The 23,202-nt window shown below is 35.1% G+C and overlaps 1 protein-coding gene across 15 annotated transcripts in view, besides 1 other annotated feature; it reads right to left on the bottom strand.

Annotated features, from left to right (window-relative positions):
- The window catches only part of SPAG16 (sperm associated antigen 16), a 1,126,038-nt gene that overhangs the window by 265,748 nt on the left and 837,088 nt on the right, over positions 1-23,202 (bottom strand). The window lies entirely within an intron of this gene.
- Positions 17,116-17,788: an enhancer, noted in NCBI's record as "OCT4-NANOG hESC enhancer chr2:214991690-214992362 (GRCh37/hg19 assembly coordinates)". NCBI's record gives its function as "activates a minimal SCP1, AML or CMV promoter by ChIP-STARR-seq in naive and primed H9 embryonic stem cells {active_cell/tissue: H9 hESC(naive and primed)}" and the evidence as "EXISTENCE:reporter gene assay evidence [ECO:0000049][PMID:30033119]".

Below are 23,202 nucleotides of genomic sequence, written 5' to 3'. Positions count from 1 at the left end.
TCAATTTACTGAACAATAAAAGCATTTTAGGCCCAGGACATTGTTTCCTTTCTTCAGTGATTCCTGAAGGCTGAACAATAGAATATATATAATATTCTGTTGTCAAAGAGTTATACTGCATACTAGAAAAATTAAATGAATGATTTTACATCAACTATGTATACATGAGAATGTTGTAAACACTAAGTGAAGGAACTTTGTTTTGTTTGTTTAGCAGTACATTCTAGTGACCTAGAATAAAATATAGTTCATGTTCAATAGATAATTGTAGAATGACTATATGAATATCTTAGATAAATAATTATAAAGCCATTAAAACAACAATTATAGAACCAATGTAAAACATGGAAAAATTTATGCCAAACTGTGGTTACATTAAAGTATATAATACACATGTACAATGATTAAATGGGGAGTTACGTCATTTATTAAAGCTTTTGTGTATTTTTATAATCCTTTAATACTTTAAATGTGAATAACTACAAATAATTAAACTCCTCAAAGATAACAGTTATATATTATTCAAATATCATTGCCAAACATATTACTATTTATTTCATGAGCTTTTAATTCATTTTATTTTACTTTACTTTTAAATCTTATTTTTGAGATAGGATCTTGTTCTGTTGCCCAGGGTGGACTGCAGTTCAATATTGTAATCTCAAACTCCTGGGCTCAGGTGATCCTTCCACGTCAGCCTCCCAAGTAGTTGAAACTACAGGTGTTTGTCAACACCCCCAGCTAATTTTTAAATTTTTTTTATAGACAGGGTCTTGCTATGTTGCTCAGGCTGGTCTCAAACCTGTGGCCTCATGTGATCCTCCCACCTTGACCTGCCGAAGTGCTGGGATTATAAGCATGAGCTACTGTGCCCAGTCTCATGAGACTTTAAAATATGTCACTGGTACAAGTACTGAAACTGAGAATGGGAAGGTACTAAATGTGTTTGCATGGAAAGCTCTCAAAGAAGTTTCCATTTAGGTCTGGAGCTCTTTCTGTAACACTGAATCTCTAGCACCCAGCACAGTTCCTGCTACATGTTAGGTATTTGATTTTAAATCACTAATTGAATGAATAAATATAAAGAAAGTAGAAAGTAATCAATGTTGATTGTATGTAATTTAAAAGAATTTTTTCACAAATATAGAAATTTAAATGAGCTAAAACTCAGAAAAAAATGTTTTTGTGATCATAAGACACAAAATCGTACATTTGCATAATTCTTTATCACTTATAACATACCTGTAAATAATGTCACAGCTGACTCTCACAACTATATGATGAGTCAAACTGTGATTCTACCTCATAATATAAAACTAAATATATTCTAGAAGAATTAAATAATTTATGGAAGGACCCTGGTCAAGATGGTCTTAAAAAATACCTATGAAATGAGACAATTAAAAACTAGTAATAGCTAACACTAATTGGGTAATTACTATGTGTCACTCAGGGTTCCAAGCATTTGTATACAGATATATACATATATCAGGAAACCAAAAAAAAAAAAAAAAAAAAACCCAAAACTATGATGGAATAGGTGATCACCTCCATTTTATGAATGAGGAAATTGAGCCACAGAAAGCTTAATTAAGTTGCCTACAGTTCACACAGTTAAAAAAGAAATGGCCAGGATTTAAGGCCATGTGGCTTTAGAGTCACTAAGCTGTACCATGTCTCAAAGACAGAGTGAGGCTAAAAAACGATTTTTAAAAGTATGAGGCCTTGAAGAGTTTGAGGACAGGATGACAGGCATACTATGCACTAAGTAAAAACAGAACAGAAACACAAAATAGAGAATAGGGATGAAAACATAGGCTCTGGGTTTTGGGTTTGGAAGCAGACTGGTCATTCAGCTTGTGTGGAATAATAAAGAGACTAAAAGAGCTTTGTGTCAGATGGAAGATAAACATCAACTTACTGCTAAAACCATGGCTGGGGTAAGATTTCCTGACAAAATGAAGCTGACAAAAGTTGCCGGCTAATGTTGTTTGAAGCTACAATTTTTGTTAATCTATACATTTAAGGACTCTGGAGTTAACACACAGTCTTGCCACCTGGACCTTTACCAAGTAGCACACTCAGTGACTGGATCTGTGGTTTCAAAACCAGAGGGCAGATTTCATCTACATTAAACGTAAAGCCTATCCTAGGTCACCCTGGAACTAGGGGCCTGGGAGACCTGGGGCAAAGGAGATAGTTACAATACTGAAAGTTATGGAAGGGTAAGCACAAAGAAAGAGGAAAAGAAATAAAGGGAGTTAAAAGAGATGATCAGACCTTTTACTTACTCAAAAGAAGCTACCAAAAATTTTCCATAACATGCAAGGAGATCTAAAGCTAATATAGTCAATAATTGGAAGATAAAAGTGATCTGTATAGATTAAAATTATGAAAGACTGAAAAAGATTTTAAAGTGTGAGTCTCAAAGATTTGAAAGTGTGAGTCTCAAAGATTTGAATAAAGAGCTATTACTCATTAAATAAAAAAGAAATGAAACAAACACAATCTAAAATGACTTGAGAAATCCAAGAGAATTAAAATGTTAGTCATTGAAGAAATAGGGCTCTATAGATAGGATGTACTCTATTCTAGACAAAGTTGAAAAGAAAGTGAGTGGATTGGAATATCACAATCTGGAAAATTTAGCTAGATTGTAGACACAGAGATTGAAAGATAAAAGCATGTAAACCATTAAGAGACTTGAGGGTGGGGGTGGAGTTACATATTCCAATATATGTTTTATAAGCATTCCAAAAGAAGATAATGTAAAGACAGTCAGAACAGCAGTATCCAAAGGTGTAATGGCTGAAACTTTGCCAGAATTGAAGAAAAATATAATATCAAGACTAAAATTGCGCTCCAAATATTGAGTATAATGCATAAAAATAAAACTGCACCTAAACAGAGTGTAATGAAAAATGTGGGATATTATGGACGAAGAGATATTTACCTACAAGTGAAAAATGACAGATTACCTATTTAAAATATTTTAAAGACATTTCAATTAATTTTTTAAGTAGATATTAGAACCAGTGGGATAATGTCCTCATTGTACCGGGGGAAAAAACCTCAACCTAAAATTCTATGCTTTAGTTAAATATCACTTTGGATTGAATGCATTTTCATTTAATGAATACAAATGTTTAAATATCTTATGGAAAGAAGTATTAATGTTTGTATTTCACCATGAAAAAGTAAAATCCTAAGTATAGCATTGGTCAAAATATATAATGGTGAGCACAAATATTTAAAAAATCAGTAATTTTTTTGGTTTTTTTTTTTTTGAGGCCGAGTCTCACTCTGTCACCCGGGCTGGAGTGCAGTGGCCTGATCTGGGCTCATTGCAACCTCTGCCTCCTGGGTTCAGGTGATTCTCCTGCCTCAGCCTCCTGAGTAGCTGGGATTACAGGCACATGCCACCGTGCCTGGCTAATTTTTGTATTTTTAGTAGAGACGGAGTTTCACCATGTTGGCAAGGATGGTCTTGATCTCCTGGCCTTGTGATCCACCTACCTTGGCCTCCCAAAGTGCTGGGATTACGGGCATGAGCCACCGTGCCCAGGCAAAAATTCAGTAATTTTTAATCAAAGTTGATTTAGTTAAAATCAAAGACAAAATGCTGAATCCAAACCCTAACTCTAATTCTAACCCTAACCTAATCTAAATCTTATCTTAAGCAAAATTCAGGAAATAAGTTAAAAAGAAGCAAATAAAACAAGATTAGCAGAAAATACAAGTTATTGTTATGGCAATACCAATACAGAAATATATATCTCTCTCTCTGTCACATCCCCCCACCCCCCACCCCCCCCCCCCCACCAATGGGATATACTTAACAATTAAAAGTAAGAAACAACTAAAATAGTTTAAATAATAAAGAATACAACTATGTGCAATTTACAAGAGAAACATTAAAAACAAGCAGAAACAATAACAAAATTCCCAAAATATTCAAGAGTGAAAATAAAGGAATAAAATCATTAAATGCTAATTCCTAAGAAGCTTGTAGAATAGTATCAGTGTCAGAAAAAAATAATTACAGAAAAGAAATTACTAGAGTCTATTACTAAAGAATAATAAAGGGAATACTCTAGCCACAAGGTATAACTAATAAATTTATATGTAAAGACAAATGACGTTTTAAAATATTTTAAAAGTTATCATGAGTATAAAAATAAATTATTTTCCCAAATAATGGGGAAGATTGTAATACAAGTCCATCAGAATGATAGATAATGCAAAAAAGGAAAGATATACAACATTTTACCACCCCTTCAAAAAATAAAGCTTGATCTAAAATGGAAAACAGTATTTGCCAAATATATAGTATCATCAAATATATGTGAAGTATGTGATAAGCCACAAAATAAGTTTCAAGAAATGACAAAGAAGTGTTATAAAGGCCACATTTTATGACGATGATGCAATTAAATTAGAAACTAAAAATTACACCAAAGGTTTAAAAAAAAGTTTGGAAGCTAAAAGAAAAAAACACAAAATAAATTACAAGTTTGGAACTGGTGACAAACAAAACAAAAAAAAAAGAGAGAGAAAAAGGAAACTCTGCCAAAATATTTAAAGAGATTTATTCTGAGCCCATGAGAGTAACCACATGCTGGGGAAATACAGTCTCAGAAATCTTGTAAAAGTGTGCCTGAGGCGATCAGGTTACAGTTTGGTTTTATACATTTCAGGGAGACAGGAATTTCAGGTAATATAATAAACCAGTACATGGGAGATACATATTGGTTTGGCCCAAGATGGCAGGACATCTTCAAGTAGAGCCTTATAAGTCATAGGTGGGTTTTGGGATTTTTTAGTTAGCAATTGGTTGAAAGAGTTAAGCTTTGTCTAAATAGTTGGACTCAGTAAAAACAAATGCTTAGGTTAAGATAAAGGGTCTGTTATCTGTCATGTGACGCTATGCTAGAGTCAGGTTGGAAAGTAAGCCACAGTATACTGGGCTTCAAACAGGCCTCAAAAAAGCCCTATTTAACAAGATGTTAAGGCGTGTAGGCTTGACTTTACCCAGGCCATTAGAAAGGAATTTGAGCAGGAAGAAAAGCTCAGAGTTCAGTGCTCAGAATTAATCCAAATGAAGGAATTCATATTATATTTGTTGAAGGAAGCTGAAGCCATTATTAATAAAAATTTGTAATTTCAGATGCATTTTTTAAAGCGAAATTTAAAATAAATATATTAGAATTAAATTGAAGACGCTCTTTTCTACAGAATAGAAAAGGTAGAAATAATTAATATATGATGAATGAGAAGCAAAATTAAAGTTATTAAAATAATAAGAGATAACATCAACAAAATCAAAAGCCGCTCTTTGAAAAGTGTAGACAGACAAATTGAAAGGTTTGTCAAAAACAGACAAAAATAATCACAAAGAAAAAAGTCATAATTAAGCAACAACAGGGAAAAGGGGATAATTAAAAATATGGTAGAGATTAAAGAAACCACACCAAATGCTCTGAAGGACTTAATGTTCACTGTTAATTCTTCAGCAAAATGGCATTTCCAGAACAAAATAAATTTAAAAGTCAACTGGCAATAAACTTTGAAAAAATTGTCTTAAATATAACAAAAAGAAATACAAGAAATAAAGAGGAAAACCACTAAGACAATACAAATATTGCTCTTGAAATGAGACCTAGACAGAAGAAAGAATGATTAAACACCTGAAAACCTTTTCACTGACCCTAGGACTATAGTTGAGTGAAATAAATTCAAACAGTGTTTTATTTGGAGTAGATCCACTTAGCTTGGTTACCCAGCCCAAGATCACTCTAGCAGTCATAGGTTTGCTATCTCACTTTTTTTGAAGAACTGCCTCTCATTTCCTACACTGTAGCTGGTGTCCTCATAGAAATTCATCTCCCTGGATGGAGTCATTATTTAAGGGGTAGGAATCTGGCTCAGGTAGGAGCAATAAGATTACCTCCCTGTATTTTCCAAACTAATGTGAGAGAGATAAGCTATTTCCTCTCTGAATAAAAGGTTTCAGAAAATGTGTAATATGCATATACATGTGTAATCTTCCTTCTGATGCTCAGGTCTAGTACAATAAAGAAACTAATAAGAGTAAGACCATTCAGGAAGTCAGGTGGTATTTGAGTTTTGGTTCCTGCTAAATCTAAATGCCAGTTGCCAACTGCTCAGTCTGAAGTCTAGGTTTGTGAGCTGAAGAAGTAAAGGATGTATGGTCCTCAAATATGCCAAATTGGTATATTGACTATTTTGAGATAAAAACATTGGAGAAATTATAGTTTCAGAAAAAGAATGGCTGAATTGTCTTTTCTTGCATGCAGCAGGCTTTAAATATTCTTTTGCAAGGGGTGCTTTCCCAGTACCAGGGCGTGAGAAGAATTCTTATCACCAGATACTGGGACTTAGCCTTGAAATAGGCCTGAATAAATAATCTCCCCCAAATAACCCTTATCTTCCACTAGCTTTCCACCTCTCATGTATCTCCCAGTATCTCCCCTAGAACTTACTACCCTAGCCAGGTCCCCTTGTTGTGTAATTTCTTTACAAATTTATATTTTTTGTCTAAAAAATATAAAAGCATTTTCCTTTGGCCATTCCTTTGGACTTTGCTCTCTGATGAAAATCCTCATGTAAATGTAAAATTAATAAAACTTGTGTGCTTTTCTCCTGTTCATCTGTTATATCAGTTCAGTTCCTGGACCAGCCAAAGAGCCCAGAAAAGAATAAAAAGGCAGTGGGAGTGATCTTTCCCTCCTCTATAGAGCCAATGAACACCCTAATTTTGCTTAAATTAGTTTGATTTGGGGTTTTTTAATTAACATGTCCTTTTTTTCTATCAAATTAGAATAGATTTTTAATGACAGCATTGATGTTGATAAAACTGCAATACAATCAGATTTGTATTACTGGTGGATGTAGTAATTGACAACTAAAATTAACAGTTTTTGCCATGACATATGCTCAATATTTATAGGATTATTTTTTATGTGCAACAATTGTATTTTACAAATGAGGAAAATAATGCTTAAAGAGATAAAGTCACTTCCCTAAAATTACCTAGTTAGAATGATTTGGAGTGTGGATTCAAGCCCATGTATGGTTAACTGCAGAGTCCAAGATTTTATCCACTGTATTACATTTTATTTTCTCAAAACTACTAGAGTATATCACAAAAGTTTAAAAATATAGAAAATATTTCCCCATCAGGATACATTAAATAGTCAATAAGATACAAATTTGTCACATAGATGTTCCTCACACTATTATTTACAAGCTAAAACTGTAGAAACCTAAAAAATCATCAATAGATAACACATACATATATACACAAATATATAAAACTATAACATGTATAATTATATAGCTAAACTATATTTTGGCATTTCCAAATATATATGTCATTAGATAACATATATAAATATATAACTAAACTATTATAATGGCATTGCCGAAGATTATTAATGACGAAAAAATATGTAGTTCAATGAAAATAGCAGCATGCAAAATTGTCTATGTTGTATGTATACACAAAGCATATATTGAAAATAAATCAGAAATGGTTATCTTCAGGTAGTAAGCCAATGCACATTAATTTTATTTGTTCTTTTCAATTTAAAAAGTTAGATTTCATGAAATTATCATACATTAATTTTTATCATCAGAAAAATATTTTTGAATAAAGAAATAATGAAATCAAAACATCACACACAGTACCTGTCAAGTGATCTAATTTTTATTTTCTAAAATTCTGCTATGCAAAATGGGCAAGTAAGAGGGGTCATCAAGCAAATGGCAGAGACATTAAGTCCGGGAAACATCAGCTGCCTTCAATATGTGAAGGTAATGACCTGCAACTTGGTATTAAGGTATAACTATAATAAAATGTTTAGGCTCATTAGGAGGAAAATTAGTATTTCAAACATTTTTAGTACTGATACATTAGCATGTCTCTTAGGACAGGCCTATGCAGCATTAAGCAATAGCTCATTACACCATTTCCTCAATACTCTAATGGCACAAATAAAGCAAATAAATTATGGAATTAGAACGGAAAGAGAAGGTAAGATTTGGGAATGCTTAGAAAGTTCAAGTATAAAGAAGGAGGAAATATAGAGCACTGGAAAGATGTGGATAAGTTTGTAATTTTGGGTGTATACTTCTTTCCTATGCCATCATCAGTCTGTTAGGCATTAACAACTACCATATCACCAATCATGCTCCATGGATATGAGCTGGAAATCTCAAAAATAATTACCGAGCAGCTAAAGTACACAACACAGCACTACATCATTACAATAACTTGTACAAAGTGATTTATATGTACTATCTCATTTAATTCTACATCTTTATGGTTAGGTACTGGTACTGCTCAATATTACAAATGAGACAACCAAGGTTTAAGTTATTAAACTTGCCCAGAGTCATTTGGTTAGCAAAACACAGGCTCGGAATTGAAAACCTGATGCTATGGTTTGGATATGGTTAGTGTGGCCCCACTAAGTCTCATGTTGAAATATGATCCCCAGTGTTAGAGTAGGGCATGGTGAGAGATTTTTGAGTCATAGGTGTGGCTCACTCATGAATGGTTTGTTATCATTCTTGTAGTGAGTGAGTTCTCACTCTACTAGTTTCTGTGAGAGCTGCTTGTTAAAACCAGCCTGGCACTACCCCCTCTCTCTTCCTCTCTCTCACCATGTGACAGCTACACTCCCCTTCTCTACCTGTCAGCTCCCCTTCCTCTTCTGCCATGAGTGGAGGCTCCCTGAAACCCTAACCAAAAGCAGATGACAGCACCATACTTCTTGTATAACATGCAGAACTGTGAGCCACCCAAAGCTCTTTTCTTTATAAATTGCCCAGCCTCCGATATTCCTGCAGTCGGCAGACTATAGAAGCATGGCGCCAGTATCTGCTTCTGGTGAGGGCTTCAGGCTGCTTCTTTTCATGGCAGAAGGCAAGGGGAGCCAGTGTGTGCAGAGATCACATGGCAAGAGAGAAAAGCAAGAGTGAGAGAGAGAGAGAGAGAGAGAGAGACAGAGAGACAGAGAGAGAGAGAGATAGAGGAAGTTCCAGGTTATTTTTAACAACCAGCTCTTGTGGGAAATAAGAGTAGAAACTCACTCATCCCCTCCCTCAGGGAAGGCATTAATCTATTCATGAGAGATTTGCTCCCATGACCCAAACACCTCTTACTAGGTCCCACCTTCCAACACCATTACACTGGAAATTAAATTTCAACATGAGATTTGGAGGGGTCAGACATCCGAACTCCGGGACCCATGAAACCACTTAGATGCATAAACATGCATACTTTGTTATTGGGGTAAAACACACCAAAACAGCTAACAGAGCTTTAGGAGCATGTCAACAAGTACCACATGTATTAACAAAGAACAAATCAAGCAAGCAGGTGTTTAAATTGACAAGGCAGAAGAGTAACTAGAAATAAAGACAATGTATATAAAGCAACTAATATTTACTGAACTCTACTGTGACCCTGGCTTGGACCAAGAGGAAGAAAAACAATTAATATATGACCTCAACAAGCTTCTGGTTGATTGTCAGAGAGAGGAGTAACTAGGCAATTACAATAGAAGAGTTAAATGCTAGAAGTAGGTATTGTTTAGAATACAAATTGATCACCTAATTCAAGACTGTAGAATCTAAGAAAGTATCTTCTAGGAGCGGAACACTAGGATAAATTCATCAGGTGAATACAGCTTTCTGGAAATGTAATGTTTTAGATAGATGAAGATTATGGACAAATAATAGGGAAGAGAAGGCAGGAAGGTGTCATTTTTATCGAAAACGGCACAATGTCAGAGCACAAAGCAGAAATTAACATACTACTCCATGGGGAATGTGGTGAATTAATGATGAGGTTAACAATGTGTAAAAATTCCAAAGTTTCTGGAGCTCACACTGAGGAATGTAAATTTTACATATGATGTAAAAAAAGTTCTTATGTGTTTTGTACATAAATATCGATACGTTAAAGGGAATGTTGAAGGCCACTAGTCTCAGTAAGTTAAGAAGGTATTATCTAGTGCAAGACTGTGTCTCTGAGATCCTGAAAAACAAGTGAAGATTGCTTTCTTGTGGTACTCAAGTTTGTTATAAGTAAGAGGTTGACTGAATTCGGGCAAATTTGCCTCATTCTATAGAAAACCTATCTCTTCATTCATCAAACAAATATTTATGGAGCCTGTGCCGATTTTAGGTGGTGGACAAGCCTCACGGAACGGGCATGCTTCTGTAAAGAAACATACAATAAATTAAATAAATCAGTAAAATATGTGGTATGTTAAATGTTAAAAGCTATGGAGAATTTTTAAAAATGTAGACAAGGAATGTTTGGCAGACAGGGTGTTGAAATACAAATAGCCTGTCAAGACTAGGAATGTGTGACCTTTGAATTAAGACCTAATGGATTTGTGGGGCCAAGTTGTGCTGTGAGAATGAAGAGTGATTCAGGAAGAGGGAAGAGCAAGATCAAGGGCCCTGAGGCAGAAGCGCTAACAGTAAATAGGCCAGTGTAGACTTCAAAGTCTTTTCATATATGAAATCAGGAAAGAACAGGTGCTATGTGTTGAATTGATTCAAAAAGCGTGGATTTGGAGATCAGTCAGAAACTATGAGTCGTCATTAAGTCCAGACTGCTGGAAGCACAAAGGAGTATTCCCATGATTTCAACTAATATTAAGATGTTTATGACTCTTGAATCTACATCTCCAATTCACAACTCTCTCTTAAATTCCAGGTCTTTATTTCCAACTACTGATAGCATTTCTCACTTGGAAGTTCCCCACGTACCTCAATGTCATCCTGTTCAAAGCCAAATTAATCTTTTCCTCAACTTGAGCCTTCTGCTGCACTTTCCATTTCAACAAAAGGATCCAAACTCCAGGCAATCACCAGAGCTTTTTATCCCATTCTCCATCTCTTTCCTTTCCAATTCTATTCAGTTGAAATTTGCCTCCAAAAATCCCTTATTTTAGCCTGTCATCAACTCACACTGGGACACATGCAGTGAACTTCCTCACTTCAACCCTCTATCTTTGCAGGCCATTTTATTATTTATTTTATTTTATTATTATTTTTGAGATGGAGTCTCGCTCTGTAACCCAGACTGGAGTGCAGTGGTGTGATCTCAGCTCACTGCAACCTCCACCTACCAGATTCAAGTGATTCTCCTGCCTCAGGCTCCGGAGTAGCTGGGATTACAGGCATGCATCATCACGCCTGGATAATTTTTGTATTTTTTAGTAGAGAATTTTCGTCACGTTGGCCAGGCTGGTCTCGAACTCCTGACCTTAAGTGATCTGCCTTCCTCGACCTCCCAAAGTGCACAGGCGTAAGCCACCACACCCAGCCTTGGAAGGCCATTTTTACAGCAAAGTTTCTCAAATAGAGGTGATTTTTTCTTCCCAGAGGACTTCTGGCAATGTCCAGAGACATCTTTGATTTCGCAACTAGAAAGTGCCCCTGGAATTCAGTTGATGGAGGCCAGGGATGCTGATAAAAGTCTTATAATGCACGAAATAGCCCCCACCTCCAACAGGGAATTACCAGTCCATAAAATCAGTATTGCCAAACCTTGCTCTATGCTAATGGTAGGTTTTTTTTTTATTATTATTTATTTATTTTTTTTATTTTATTTTATTTGAGATGGAGTTTCACTCTTGTTGCCCAGGCTGGAGTGCAGTGGCACGATCTCAGTTCACTGCAACATCCGCCTCCCAGGTTCAAGTGATTCTCCTGCCTCAGCCTCCCCAGTAGCTGGGATTACAGGCGTCTGCCACCACGCCTGGCTAATTTTGTATTTTTAGTAGAGACGGGGTTTCTCCATGTTGGTCAGGCTGGTCTCGAACTCGCGACCTCAGGTGATCCGCCCGCCTAGGCCTCCCAAAGTGCTAGGATTACAAGGCATAGGCCCAGCCATGACAGTCATTTTTAAATGCAAATTTGAGACTCTCAAATGTAAATTTGACCTGCCTCCTTCCTGCCTATCATCTTCCTTAAATTTCCCCATATGTTACTCTATTGGCTATTCCTCAAATGCACCAAGTCCTCATGCTTTTCTTCTTAGTTTCCACTGACTGGGATACTCATTCCTTATTTATTTTTCTGGTAAATATCAACCATTCTTAAAACTTGGCTCCAACACAACTTCTTCTAAAGTCCTCTAAGTGACACAATGTATTCCTTCTGTTGCTTCCATAAATTCATGTTACAAAACTGCAATCTCTTATATACATGCCCGTCTTTTCATTCTAGACCATTGTTTAATACATGTGGCTACTGAGTACTTTAAATGTAACTACAGCAACTGAGGAACTGAAGTTTCAGTTTTACTTATTTTTAATTAGTTAAAAATCTCCTCATGTAGCTAGCACCTATCACATTGGACATTTTAGATTAAAAATCATCTTTTTATTACAGAAAGTTCTATTGGACAGTACTGTTCCAGATCATTTACACATTCAGTTTTGGGTTTATATTATATACTTAGTAAATATTTGAACAAATGAATGAATGAATCATTATTTCCATACCTGGAAAGTCAAAGCAAAACTTCTCATATTTGCAATAGAACTCTTTCAAGAATTATACCCGATATACCCACTGATTATTTTTAAAGTCTTTATTTTTTTTAGAGCAGGTTTAGGTTCTGAGCAAAATTAAGAGGAAAGTATGAAGATTTCTCATATGTCCTGTCTCCCCTACACATGCATAGCATCTCACACTAGCAATATCTGCCACCAGAGTGGTACACTTGTTACAATTGGTGAACCTACATTAGCACATCTTCATCATCCAAAGCTCACAGTTTACATTAGGGTTCACTCTTGGTGGTGTACGTTCTATGGGTTTAGACAAGTGTAACCATCATTATAAGAGTATTTTCACCACCCTAAAAATTGTCTATGCCCTGTCTATTCATCCCTCCCTCCCTCCAGCCCCTGGCAACCACTGATCTTTTTACTGTTTCTACAGTTTTGCCTTTTCCAGAATGTCACATAGTTGGAGTCATACAGTATGTAGCCATTTTAGAGTGGCTATTTCACTTAGTAATGTGCATTTAAGTTTATGCCATCTCTTTTCATGGCTTAATAGTTCATTTTTTTTTTAAGTCCCGAGTAACATTCCATTGTCTGGATGTACCATACTTTCTCTATCAATTCACCTACTGGAGGACATTTTGGTTGCTTCCAAGTTTTCACAGTTATGAATAAAGCTACTCTATGTGGAGGTTTTTGTGTAAATATAAGTTTTCTCCACTGACTTTTAGTTAGCCACTTTTGGCACTTATAACATGTTACCTTATACAAACAAATAGTTACCTACTTTGTGGATAGAGTTTGATTTTTTTTTTTTTTTTAATTTTGAGTTAGGGTCTTGCTCTGTCACCCAGGTTGGAGTACAGTGGCATGATCACAGCTCACTGTAATCTCAAACTCCTGCTCTCAAGCCATCCTCCCACTTCAACTTCCCGAAGCAACTAGGACCACAGGTGCATGCCAATATGCCCAGCTACTTTTTTTTGGTAGAGATGGGGTCTCGCTGTGTTTCTCAGACTGTTGTCAAACTCTCAGAAGTTTGAGCTACCACACCTAGCCTAGTTTATCAAGAAAAAGGACTAGATCTTTACTTGTTTGAATCTCCCACGACACCTAGCATAATGCTTATTTTGCAGATGCCAAATTGAAAGCACAGTCCTGAAGGAATTGAATATAGACTGGCCCAACTTCCTGGCTGCCAAATACGATGCAAAATTAGTGGATTTCTGAAGGTGAAGGGGAGAAGAAGGTTTAATAAATCACAGAGAGTCTTTCTACTCTAAAGACAATTTTTGAAACTAACGTTTTATTCAAGGAGAAATGGAAGTTCCTTACATGGCATATGAAATTGATGCATTCTCCCTCTGGCAGTGAGCCTCTTCTAAAAGCACTAAAAAAATGTTCTGACTCTCATGTGAGTTTACTTCATTTTCAGTGTCATTATTGGCATTATTTCAGATATTCATGTATGAGATCTTTGTCTTATAGGCCCTTGGTGTTTTCTGCCGATGTGACTTGTCACATTGCAGCAATATCTTTTGATATATTTACATAGTAACATACTGTAATGTCAAAGCAGGGCAGTAGGGTTTCTGGAATATGAAGAAATAAAACCAAAGAGATATGAAGTAAAAATTGAAGCTTACTACTCCACATCTGAAGAGCGAGTGGTGTTAAATTTTTACAGTTTGGCATCACTCTGTATGTCAGAAGAAAGATCTCAGGTTTGCTGTGGTGTTTGCTAGTGTTAAAGCATGCCTCTGGCCAACAGACAAAATGAAGTCTTCATGGCTGACTGAGGTTCTCAAAGTTAATACAGAACCAGGTGGCCACAGCCAAGTGAGGGAGCTGTGTTCTCAGAAAGTACTCCATGTTCTCAGAAAGGTGTTGTAAAAGTGTCACAAAACCTCCCTTTCTGTGATTAATCCAAACCAGTTTCTGTTGTTGTCAAGATAAACTGTGGCCACGACCCTCAAACTCTCACACCGGCTGCTAGAGACTTCCAGTTTGGGGCTTGGAAGCTTGCCAATCAGGGCTTATCTATTTCAACCAATCAGAACTGAATAAGTTTGAATGCTTCATTTGCATAAATGGATTTGGTTGAGAACTGGGGTGAGAATTTTCTCTATTGAAGCCAGACCCCCACTTTGTTCATTGGAAGGCACGCTCACTTGTATTGTAGGCTATGCCTCCCCAATTTGAGATTATTGTTAAGAAAATAAAGCTCTTCTTTTCTCCTCTACAGATCTCATGGTTTTTTGTTAATACCGGTAAGTATTGAGTCACAAAGAATCTTTCAGAGTTCAGAAAAACCAGGTGTTGAAAATAAATCCTTGCTTCTCTAAAAAGCCTTATAAGTCATGCATTCATAGTCTATAGTTTTTCTCAATTTCAAAAGGAAAATGTTAGTGATTATCAATATATTTCTGAAAGATAATATAAAAGTTGTCCAGATCAAAGTATTCCATGGAATAGAAAAGTAAAGTCTTGAGAAATTAAGGGATTTGTCTAAGCCTTCGCATGAAATTCATGGTCCAAGCAGAACTATAATTAAGGTCTTCTTCAAACATACTGCCAACTTTTATTTTGTATAGGAGGAAGGGCTAACTATAAATGTTAAAAATAATGCTATTATTATTACAATTGCATATCTTCTGGTGAAATCTGTTGACACTTAAAAACAGATGCTAAAAAAGACTTCCAGTCACAATGGAGTCAAAGGGATCAGGTATATCCTCCTGCCTGAAACAACCAAAAACCTGGACAAAATATAGAAAACAATGGTTTACAAGACACTGCATATTAGGTAACAAAGGGCAATAATCATCAAGAGATGAAAACGAATGAAGTCAGCCAGAGAAGACTACGTTGACATACTACCTTGACGATTTCTATCCCATAACACAAGGACAGGGAACTGAAACAAAGCACAGCAGACTCCCTAATTAAAGAAACGAAGCTGAGGGTCCAGGGATGCCAAGGCAGGTAGAATTTGCGAGGCAGAGTGTACAGAAGAGGTGAGGTGAGAGTTGCACAGAGAAAACCCTGGAGATCTGCAGAGAAACCTCCTCTAGTATTTAGCTCAGTAATGATTGGCATATGACTGTGAGGAAATTACTTAGGGGCCTAGGAAGAACTACCTGAAATGATTAGAGGGAACACGAAAAGATGTTCAGATTACACTGGGAAAGTGAGGACTGCCCTAACAGACAGAATGAAAAATTTCAAGATTTGAGGTCACTGGGTAGATTAGAAGACAAAGAAGGGGTACTTCCCCGCTTTAGTAGCGGGGAAGTAATTAGCCCTAGTTTGAGCACTGCTTCTTTCCCACCTAACAAATCTGGAAGTACTAACCAGTTTCTAAGTAACTTGACAGCATTCCAGAACAAAGTTCAAGACTATTTGTAAAAATACAAAATATCTAGCATCCAACAAGGTAAACTTGATGAATTTATGAGGCACTAGGTAATATCACCATATTACATATGAGAAAATTTAGGCTACTTCTAATTCACACAACTGGTAAGTGATAGTTGGGATCTGAAACTAAATCTGGTTGAATTGAAATCCGTTAGATAAGAAGACAGGAATAAATTCATATGTAAATCAGATTAAAGATATTTCTTTGGAGTGTTTTCATTCAATTTGGATGCATATTAATTGATTTTGGCACAGCAATCTTGGAACTGGCCAAAGTTGAGGGTAAATATAAGAAGGGTTAGGGGACAGTGGAGAAGGTTGTGGCTCACTAGTGAGCATAACCAGACAATGAAAAGCCTTGAGTAGAGCTTAGAGTTTTAAAATCTCTCTTGTTGCTTTCTCAATTAAACTGAGAAATATAAGATTTAACTAAAACATGCCAATAACTCTCCCAACCAATCTTAAAGCAATCATAATATGACACATATGCACAATTAATGTGGCCACCCAACTGGGCAATTCACATACACACAGATAGACATATACACAGGATGTACTTTCCTGAAATGATTATAACTTGAGAGGTTTTCCCCCTGCCCGTCAGCTTATTTTCTTCTGAACAACTATTTTTAAATGAGGCACTTATGCCATAGTTATTTACATTTGAATGAAGCCTACACTGATAATTTTACTTCCTAAAACAACCCATGATGATGGGTGATTCAACTTGAGAATTAAAGGACATTTAAGTGCTTTAAAATATCAATTTGCCAAATACTAAATTCTACCACTTTTTAATACATTTAATCAAGCTGCTCTAACCCACCCTTTTTTCTAGAACAGTCTGTTTCTATCTCACCACTGGTCTACTTTTTATTTTGTTATAACAAACTGACCAAAGAAATTTGTACATACTTTAAGATGATGAAACTTCTTTTATAAAGAGTTTTGAAAACATGATTAGTCATTCATTAAGTATCACCCAGACAAGCTTTCCCTGCCAGAATGGCCTAGTGCCGGGTGAGGGTGTGTGGTGAGGAAGAGGACAGGACTGATGCAGTAGGGAAAAGGGTAAGACATGATTCTAGATCTTCATGAGCTATGGAATCATCCTGGCTAATTTGTAATCCTCCTAAACAAAATAAAATGCATTGCCATGTAAATTTACATTTTGGAAATATTTACAGATAAAAATGAAATACATACAGGTGAATCTTTGATTTAACACAATTGAAAATAAATATTGTGTTTTCCTTCCAAACTCTCCTCCTCCTTGGATAGACCAGTATTCTGTTTGTTAACCTGTAACTCAGCTCACTCCCACTCTGCTCTTTCCATCTACCAGATAAAGAAACACAGCATTCCTTTTGGGGTTTGAAAGGAACAGCATGTGATATTGTTGGAGTAGTTTTTGCATAAATTTACATAAGAAACTGAACATCACTGGACCCCCTGAAGAGTAAAAGCTAGCCACAGTTGATACTGCACTTGAAATAGTAAACCAGGGATGACAATTTTAATGAGGCAGACACTTAATTTCATTAATCTGTTGTCCTTTATCCAGGGAGGAAGTCAGTCCTTTTATATTCTCCAAGATATGAAAGGCAGAGGGCAGGGATTGACAATTAGAGAAGCACTAGATTTCTGCAGCAGTGATTAGAGGTCAAAGAGGGATTTGGAATCCTGAATGTCCATATTAGCAGCTGACATAGTGGCAAACTGCAAAATTCCATCAAATCTATTTCTTTTCCCTTGTGGGAAAAAATATTTTTATCTACTGAATTCAGTTTCACAAACACTTACAGAGAACTTACTACAAAAAATTTACAACTTCAGATTTCTAGTAATTTCAAAATAATCATTTCTTAAGTACTTGGGGATAATCCTTTTAAAAATATATATGTATGTTTTATACACCATAGAGAAATAAAACAAATCATCTAGCAAAGATGAGAGCAATGTGTTAATTACTATTGTTAACAACAATGTACTTTTGCTGTTTGATCATTGCAGAAGATATTACATGATGTAGATACACAATCTGTAAGATCTGTTTATTTATTGTGATAGTAACCTAAGGTGTTCCTCAATTTGGCAAGAGTCTTTTAAAGTAGCTAATTATTATTGATTAATATAGTGCTCACTGCAATAACATTGCTGGGATAACCTGCAATGGATTTATTTTCTCTTAATATGTGCATAAGTACAGTCACATAAATTCAGAGAAGTTCCATTATATACATAAAGTTGATAATATATGAATAGGGTTGTGTCATCATAATGTTTACAATACCAAGATTCATGTTGATGACCATAAACCAGGCCTGGCTGTTGCCACTGTTGGAGCTCAGAACACGACACCCTGAAGTATGGCTCCTTGGTGTGCTGAATACTTTGAAATGAAGGAAATTGGAAGGGCCTCTGACCTTCTCCACCTTCCTGTCTTCCGACCCTCCTTCTCCCATGAATGAGTCATAGAAACCAGAACTCCTCTTCCCTAAGGCGAGTCATAGAAACGGAAACTTCTCTCCCCCAAAGAAAGCCATAAAACCTAGGAAGCTCAATCCATCCCTTCTCCCTTCTCCCTTCTCCGTAAAGCCTAGCAAGCTCACTCCATCTCTTCTATTTTGAAGACGTGATTCGAGGTGGGACCTGCCCCATTGCCAGGTGAAAGAAATGCTATACAGAAACGCCAAAAAAAAAAAAAAAAAAAAAAAGGAAGGAAGGAAGGAAGGAAGGAAGGAAGGAAGGAAGGAAGGAAGGAAGGAAGGAAGGAAAGAAGGAAGGAAAAGAAAGTCAGGCCTTACTGGATTTCTTCCCTCGGTCTATTACCATTAGATTATATTCTTTTGCCCAATCACATTTCTACGTGATTGTCCATTCTTCATTAAATCTAAGCATCAAAATAGACAATTTTCCCCGGGTCTTTTAAGTTTTCATTCCTGAAGGCTCCCATGTCAAGTAAAACCCTGATTAAATACATTTGTTATACTTTTCCCTTGTAAACCTGTCTTTTGTTACAGGACTTTTGGCTATGATCCTTAAGATGGGTGAGGAAAGGTGCCATATCTTTCTTCCTGTACTTCATATTGAAGTGACTTGATAAAATATCCAAAATCTATAATTTGATTTATAAAAACAGATTACAGGGTGGAGCTATATATATTTAACTAAAATGTAGAGCCTTTTTAAGAATTATTTCTAACAGACTGTCCTTCTGTTTGCTAGCCTTATTTTTTCTTAGAAATTCTACATTTTTTTTCACTAGTAAAACAATCATATTTCTTTGAAGATATGGAATTGTATCCATAATACCCTGGAGAGGGCGAAGTTACAACCTCACACATCCAAAAAAGTCTGTTTTTACCATTTTAGGTATACAAAACATAACATGATAGAAAAGCAATTCATAATGTAATGACTTGATTTATTTCATAACTTTGTATTTCAGTCTGTAAAAATTGAAAACCAGCTATTCCTTAGAAAAAAATTCTATCCCTCAGACTAAAAAGAGAACATTTTAAATGACTGCAGCCAATTCCAGTATCAAGCCTCATGAAAAAGAAACAGAGTGTATACTTAAGATTCTCTGTGGTCCTAACTTTCTCCAGCTCAGGTGGAATAAGGGATCTAAATGCAACCAGGTATTAAAGTTAGAAACAAAAGGTTCTTTCACTTCACAACCACCCAAATAACAAGTCAGGGAATATTTGCTAAATCTTAAAAAAAAAGAAAACATATATAAAAACTTGAATGGTTTCAGAAAAAAATTCAATGAATTTAGGTTTCTGAATGCAATCTAGGTAGCAGATTAAATTCCTTTAGTTAGAAAACTGTTGAGTGTTTAGGTCTAGCTATTGAGTAAATGGCAGAGCAAGGTGATGATGCACATGACAGCCCAAGGGCAAGGTGAAAGGTGCTCCAGGAAATTCCAGCCCATCCTGCTGGAAGATGTACCTTTTAAAACAGTTTCCCTGCAGAGCCACTTGGTATACAAATTAAATCTCTTCCAGAGAAAGGGCAGACTCTCTTGTTCTGCCCGTGGTTTTGCATGTTAACTAACAGTCACTTCTTCAAGTATGGACTCACAGGGTCACATTCATCCACCAACATACAATTAAGTGGGGAAAATTACATTAAAGGGGATAATCAAGTTTTCTTGTAATTGTGCTTATGAGTAAATTGGTGTGACAATTATTTTTGCTCTAATTATGTGCTTCAAAAACAATGTTTCATGCATTAGACATTATCCCTGTTATGTAAAACAATCTTAAAAATTCATGCTGTTTATCATACATGTAGTTTTTTATACTTTTTAAATCACATGCAAATTAAGACTGGCTATAATAAATCCTAATTAGAGAGGAGTGTATCATTTTATGTTGATATTTTCACGTTACTTAGAACAATTTCGTACTGTGAAACCTGTTTAAATGAGATTTTACTGTATTGGAAGACCAGTTGTCTGAGTGGTCAAATATCCTGATCAGTGACATTATTTCTTATAAAAAAATAAAATATTTTGAACTAGTTTTGGCAGTCATATGCTCAAAACAATCATGGGGAGTCTGCAAAGTATATTAAATTTCAAAATAAAATTTAAAATCAATGATAGAAAATAAATTTTGTTGTGTCACAGCAAACATGGTCCTATGTCCTCTTAAATATCCCTTCAGTTCTGACCTACAGTGACTTTCTGACACTTCCTAGTCAATGAATATTTATTGATTAGTGCTTCTATACTGAGAATTATGCTAAGAATTCTAGGGTTAAAAAAACTTAAGGTATTAGTCACATAAAAAAATCCATTACAAACTTCTCATAGCTGGGTTATCTTTGTATAGGTGACATTACCAATCAGTTATCTATATGATTCAAGATATTCCACCTGTTTAATCTATTCCTAGTTCACTCTATGTGTCCCGATTTTGCTATTCCTCCACGGGACCATGTTGTCACCACTTCAGGAACTTGGCCTCTCTTATTGCCTATGCTTGAGTTATCTTCCTTCAGAACTTTTAGGATTTCTTTATTCTCTCAGAGAATCTCTCTCTGATCATTGCATTTTAAGCCCCAACTCTCACCTTATTGCTGTTTTCTACCTGATTGATTCTTGATAGGTAGCACTTCATATTCCTGAGATTATTCACTTATTTACTGGTTTATTGTCTCTGATTATTAAGAGAATATAAGGTTCCTGAGGACAGGACTTGGTATTTTTCATTGCTGAACTCTCACTATTTAGATTAGTGCCAGGACACAGTTGATGTAAAGGGTTGCTAAGTAGAAATTTCACTACTGAACTGTTTTCATATATGCCAAAAGGTTTTAAAGTTATCCAAAGATACATATATAGAAAACAAACGATTGATTTTTTTTGGTCAAAGAGGAAATGTCAAGAAATATGACATAATTATGTTGCTTTCAATTTTCATAGACCCATCAACAAAATGACAAATGTATGAAATGAACTCCATTTGACTATAGGAGTGATTGGAGGTTAAAATTTGGGGGTGGTGCAATAGAATCTTAAATGTATCATTTTTATCTGTAGTCATTTACAGTATTAGATTTCTAACACCAAAACAAAGTAGAAATAAAGATAGAATACTTCTATTAATTTATTATAGTTACCTTATATTCTAATTAATTTTTTTAATGGCTGCTTATACAAATGCTTTTCTTTTGCTTTACTTTTTTAAAGCGTTTCACTTTTTACTAGAAATTATTTTCTTTCCAAAGTACAAAAAGTATTAAGGCAAAAAGTTAATTTCATAAAATATTTAGTTTAAAAAATCACATAGTATAGGATGGGCTTGAGATATAAAATTATTTTTTGAATATGTAGGAATATTGACATAATTTAAATATTTTCTAAAATAAAAATGGAGATTACATATGCCTTAATTTTATATTCTATTGTTGTTTCCAATTTCCTTGGATAGACAGAACCTGCTTTAGTGTTTTTCACCACACATCTAAAAGTTTTGACTTATGCATCATCTTGGTGCAGTAATGAATAAGAACTGACATCAAATATCAATATTATTGGCCCAGCTAAATGGTAGTTGACATCAAGGTGGATTGCTGGAAAAGTAAGCAAAATTGAAATAATTTTGGTGCATAAATACTGCCTGACATCATTTGTCCTTCAGGGGATCAATCACTGTATGACCTAATTGTTGTTTGCATTTCTTTATATAAAATGGCCAGAGATTGATATTGAGTGCTTGCTGTTTGAACTTAGGTAACAAACAAAATTGAGAAATCAGAAATTCAACTTCCTTTGCTAAAGTGGAGACAGGATCACTTTTTTAGGTAGGCAATTGCAGTTTTTTGTTTATCACTGGTTTTTTAAAAAGGTAATGTGAATTGATGCATTTATGTCTACTTACCGGCAACTTAGGAAAAGCAATTAACCTATCTTAGATCAAATTTAAAACATTTAACTGCCTAATTATTGTATAACATATCCAGATATAAAAGAAACAAAATACTCCCTCTGAAGTTTATACCTATTTTTTTAGTAGGATTTAGCTCAGGTTTCATACAGTTACACATTCTTTTTTAGGATAATTTTAACATTTTATGTTCTTGAACTTTGCTTAAGTGCAAAATATGTATGGCAAGTTTATGTTTACACTACTATTATGTTATAGAAAATTAAATTATAGACTATAAGGAATTTATATTATACATATTTGTGTGTGATTATTTTTTATTTACTTCTACTTATTTGAAAACAAATGGCTAGAAAGGAACATTATCTCCATTAACAATAGTACAGGTTGAGTATGCCTTATACAAAATTCTTAGGAATAGAAATGTTTGAGATTTCTGACTTTTTAAAAATTTTAGAATATTTGCATATACATAATGTAATATCATGGGGATAGGACCCAAGTCTAAACAAAACATTAATTTATGTTTCATATATACCTTATACATACAGACTGAAGGTAATTTTATACAGCATTTTAAATAATTTTATACATGAAACAAAGTTTGTGTACACTAAATTAGCAAAAAGCAAAGGTGTCAGGTGTTGAATTTTCACCTTACGGTGTCATGTTTTGGATTTTGGAACATTTTGGAGTTTAGATTTTTGGATTAGAGATGTTCAGACTTTAGTAATAATAATAGCAGTAGTAGCAGTAGTACCATCTTCTAGTTACTAAGCACTATTTAAAACACATTGTATGTATTATCTAATATTCTCTGTTCT

This window comes from Homo sapiens, chromosome 2 (genome assembly GCF_000001405.40).
Source record: "Homo sapiens chromosome 2, GRCh38.p14 Primary Assembly".
Lineage (NCBI taxonomy): Eukaryota > Metazoa > Chordata > Mammalia > Primates > Hominidae > Homo > Homo sapiens.
This window is presented reverse-complemented; position numbering and strand designations above follow the sequence as displayed.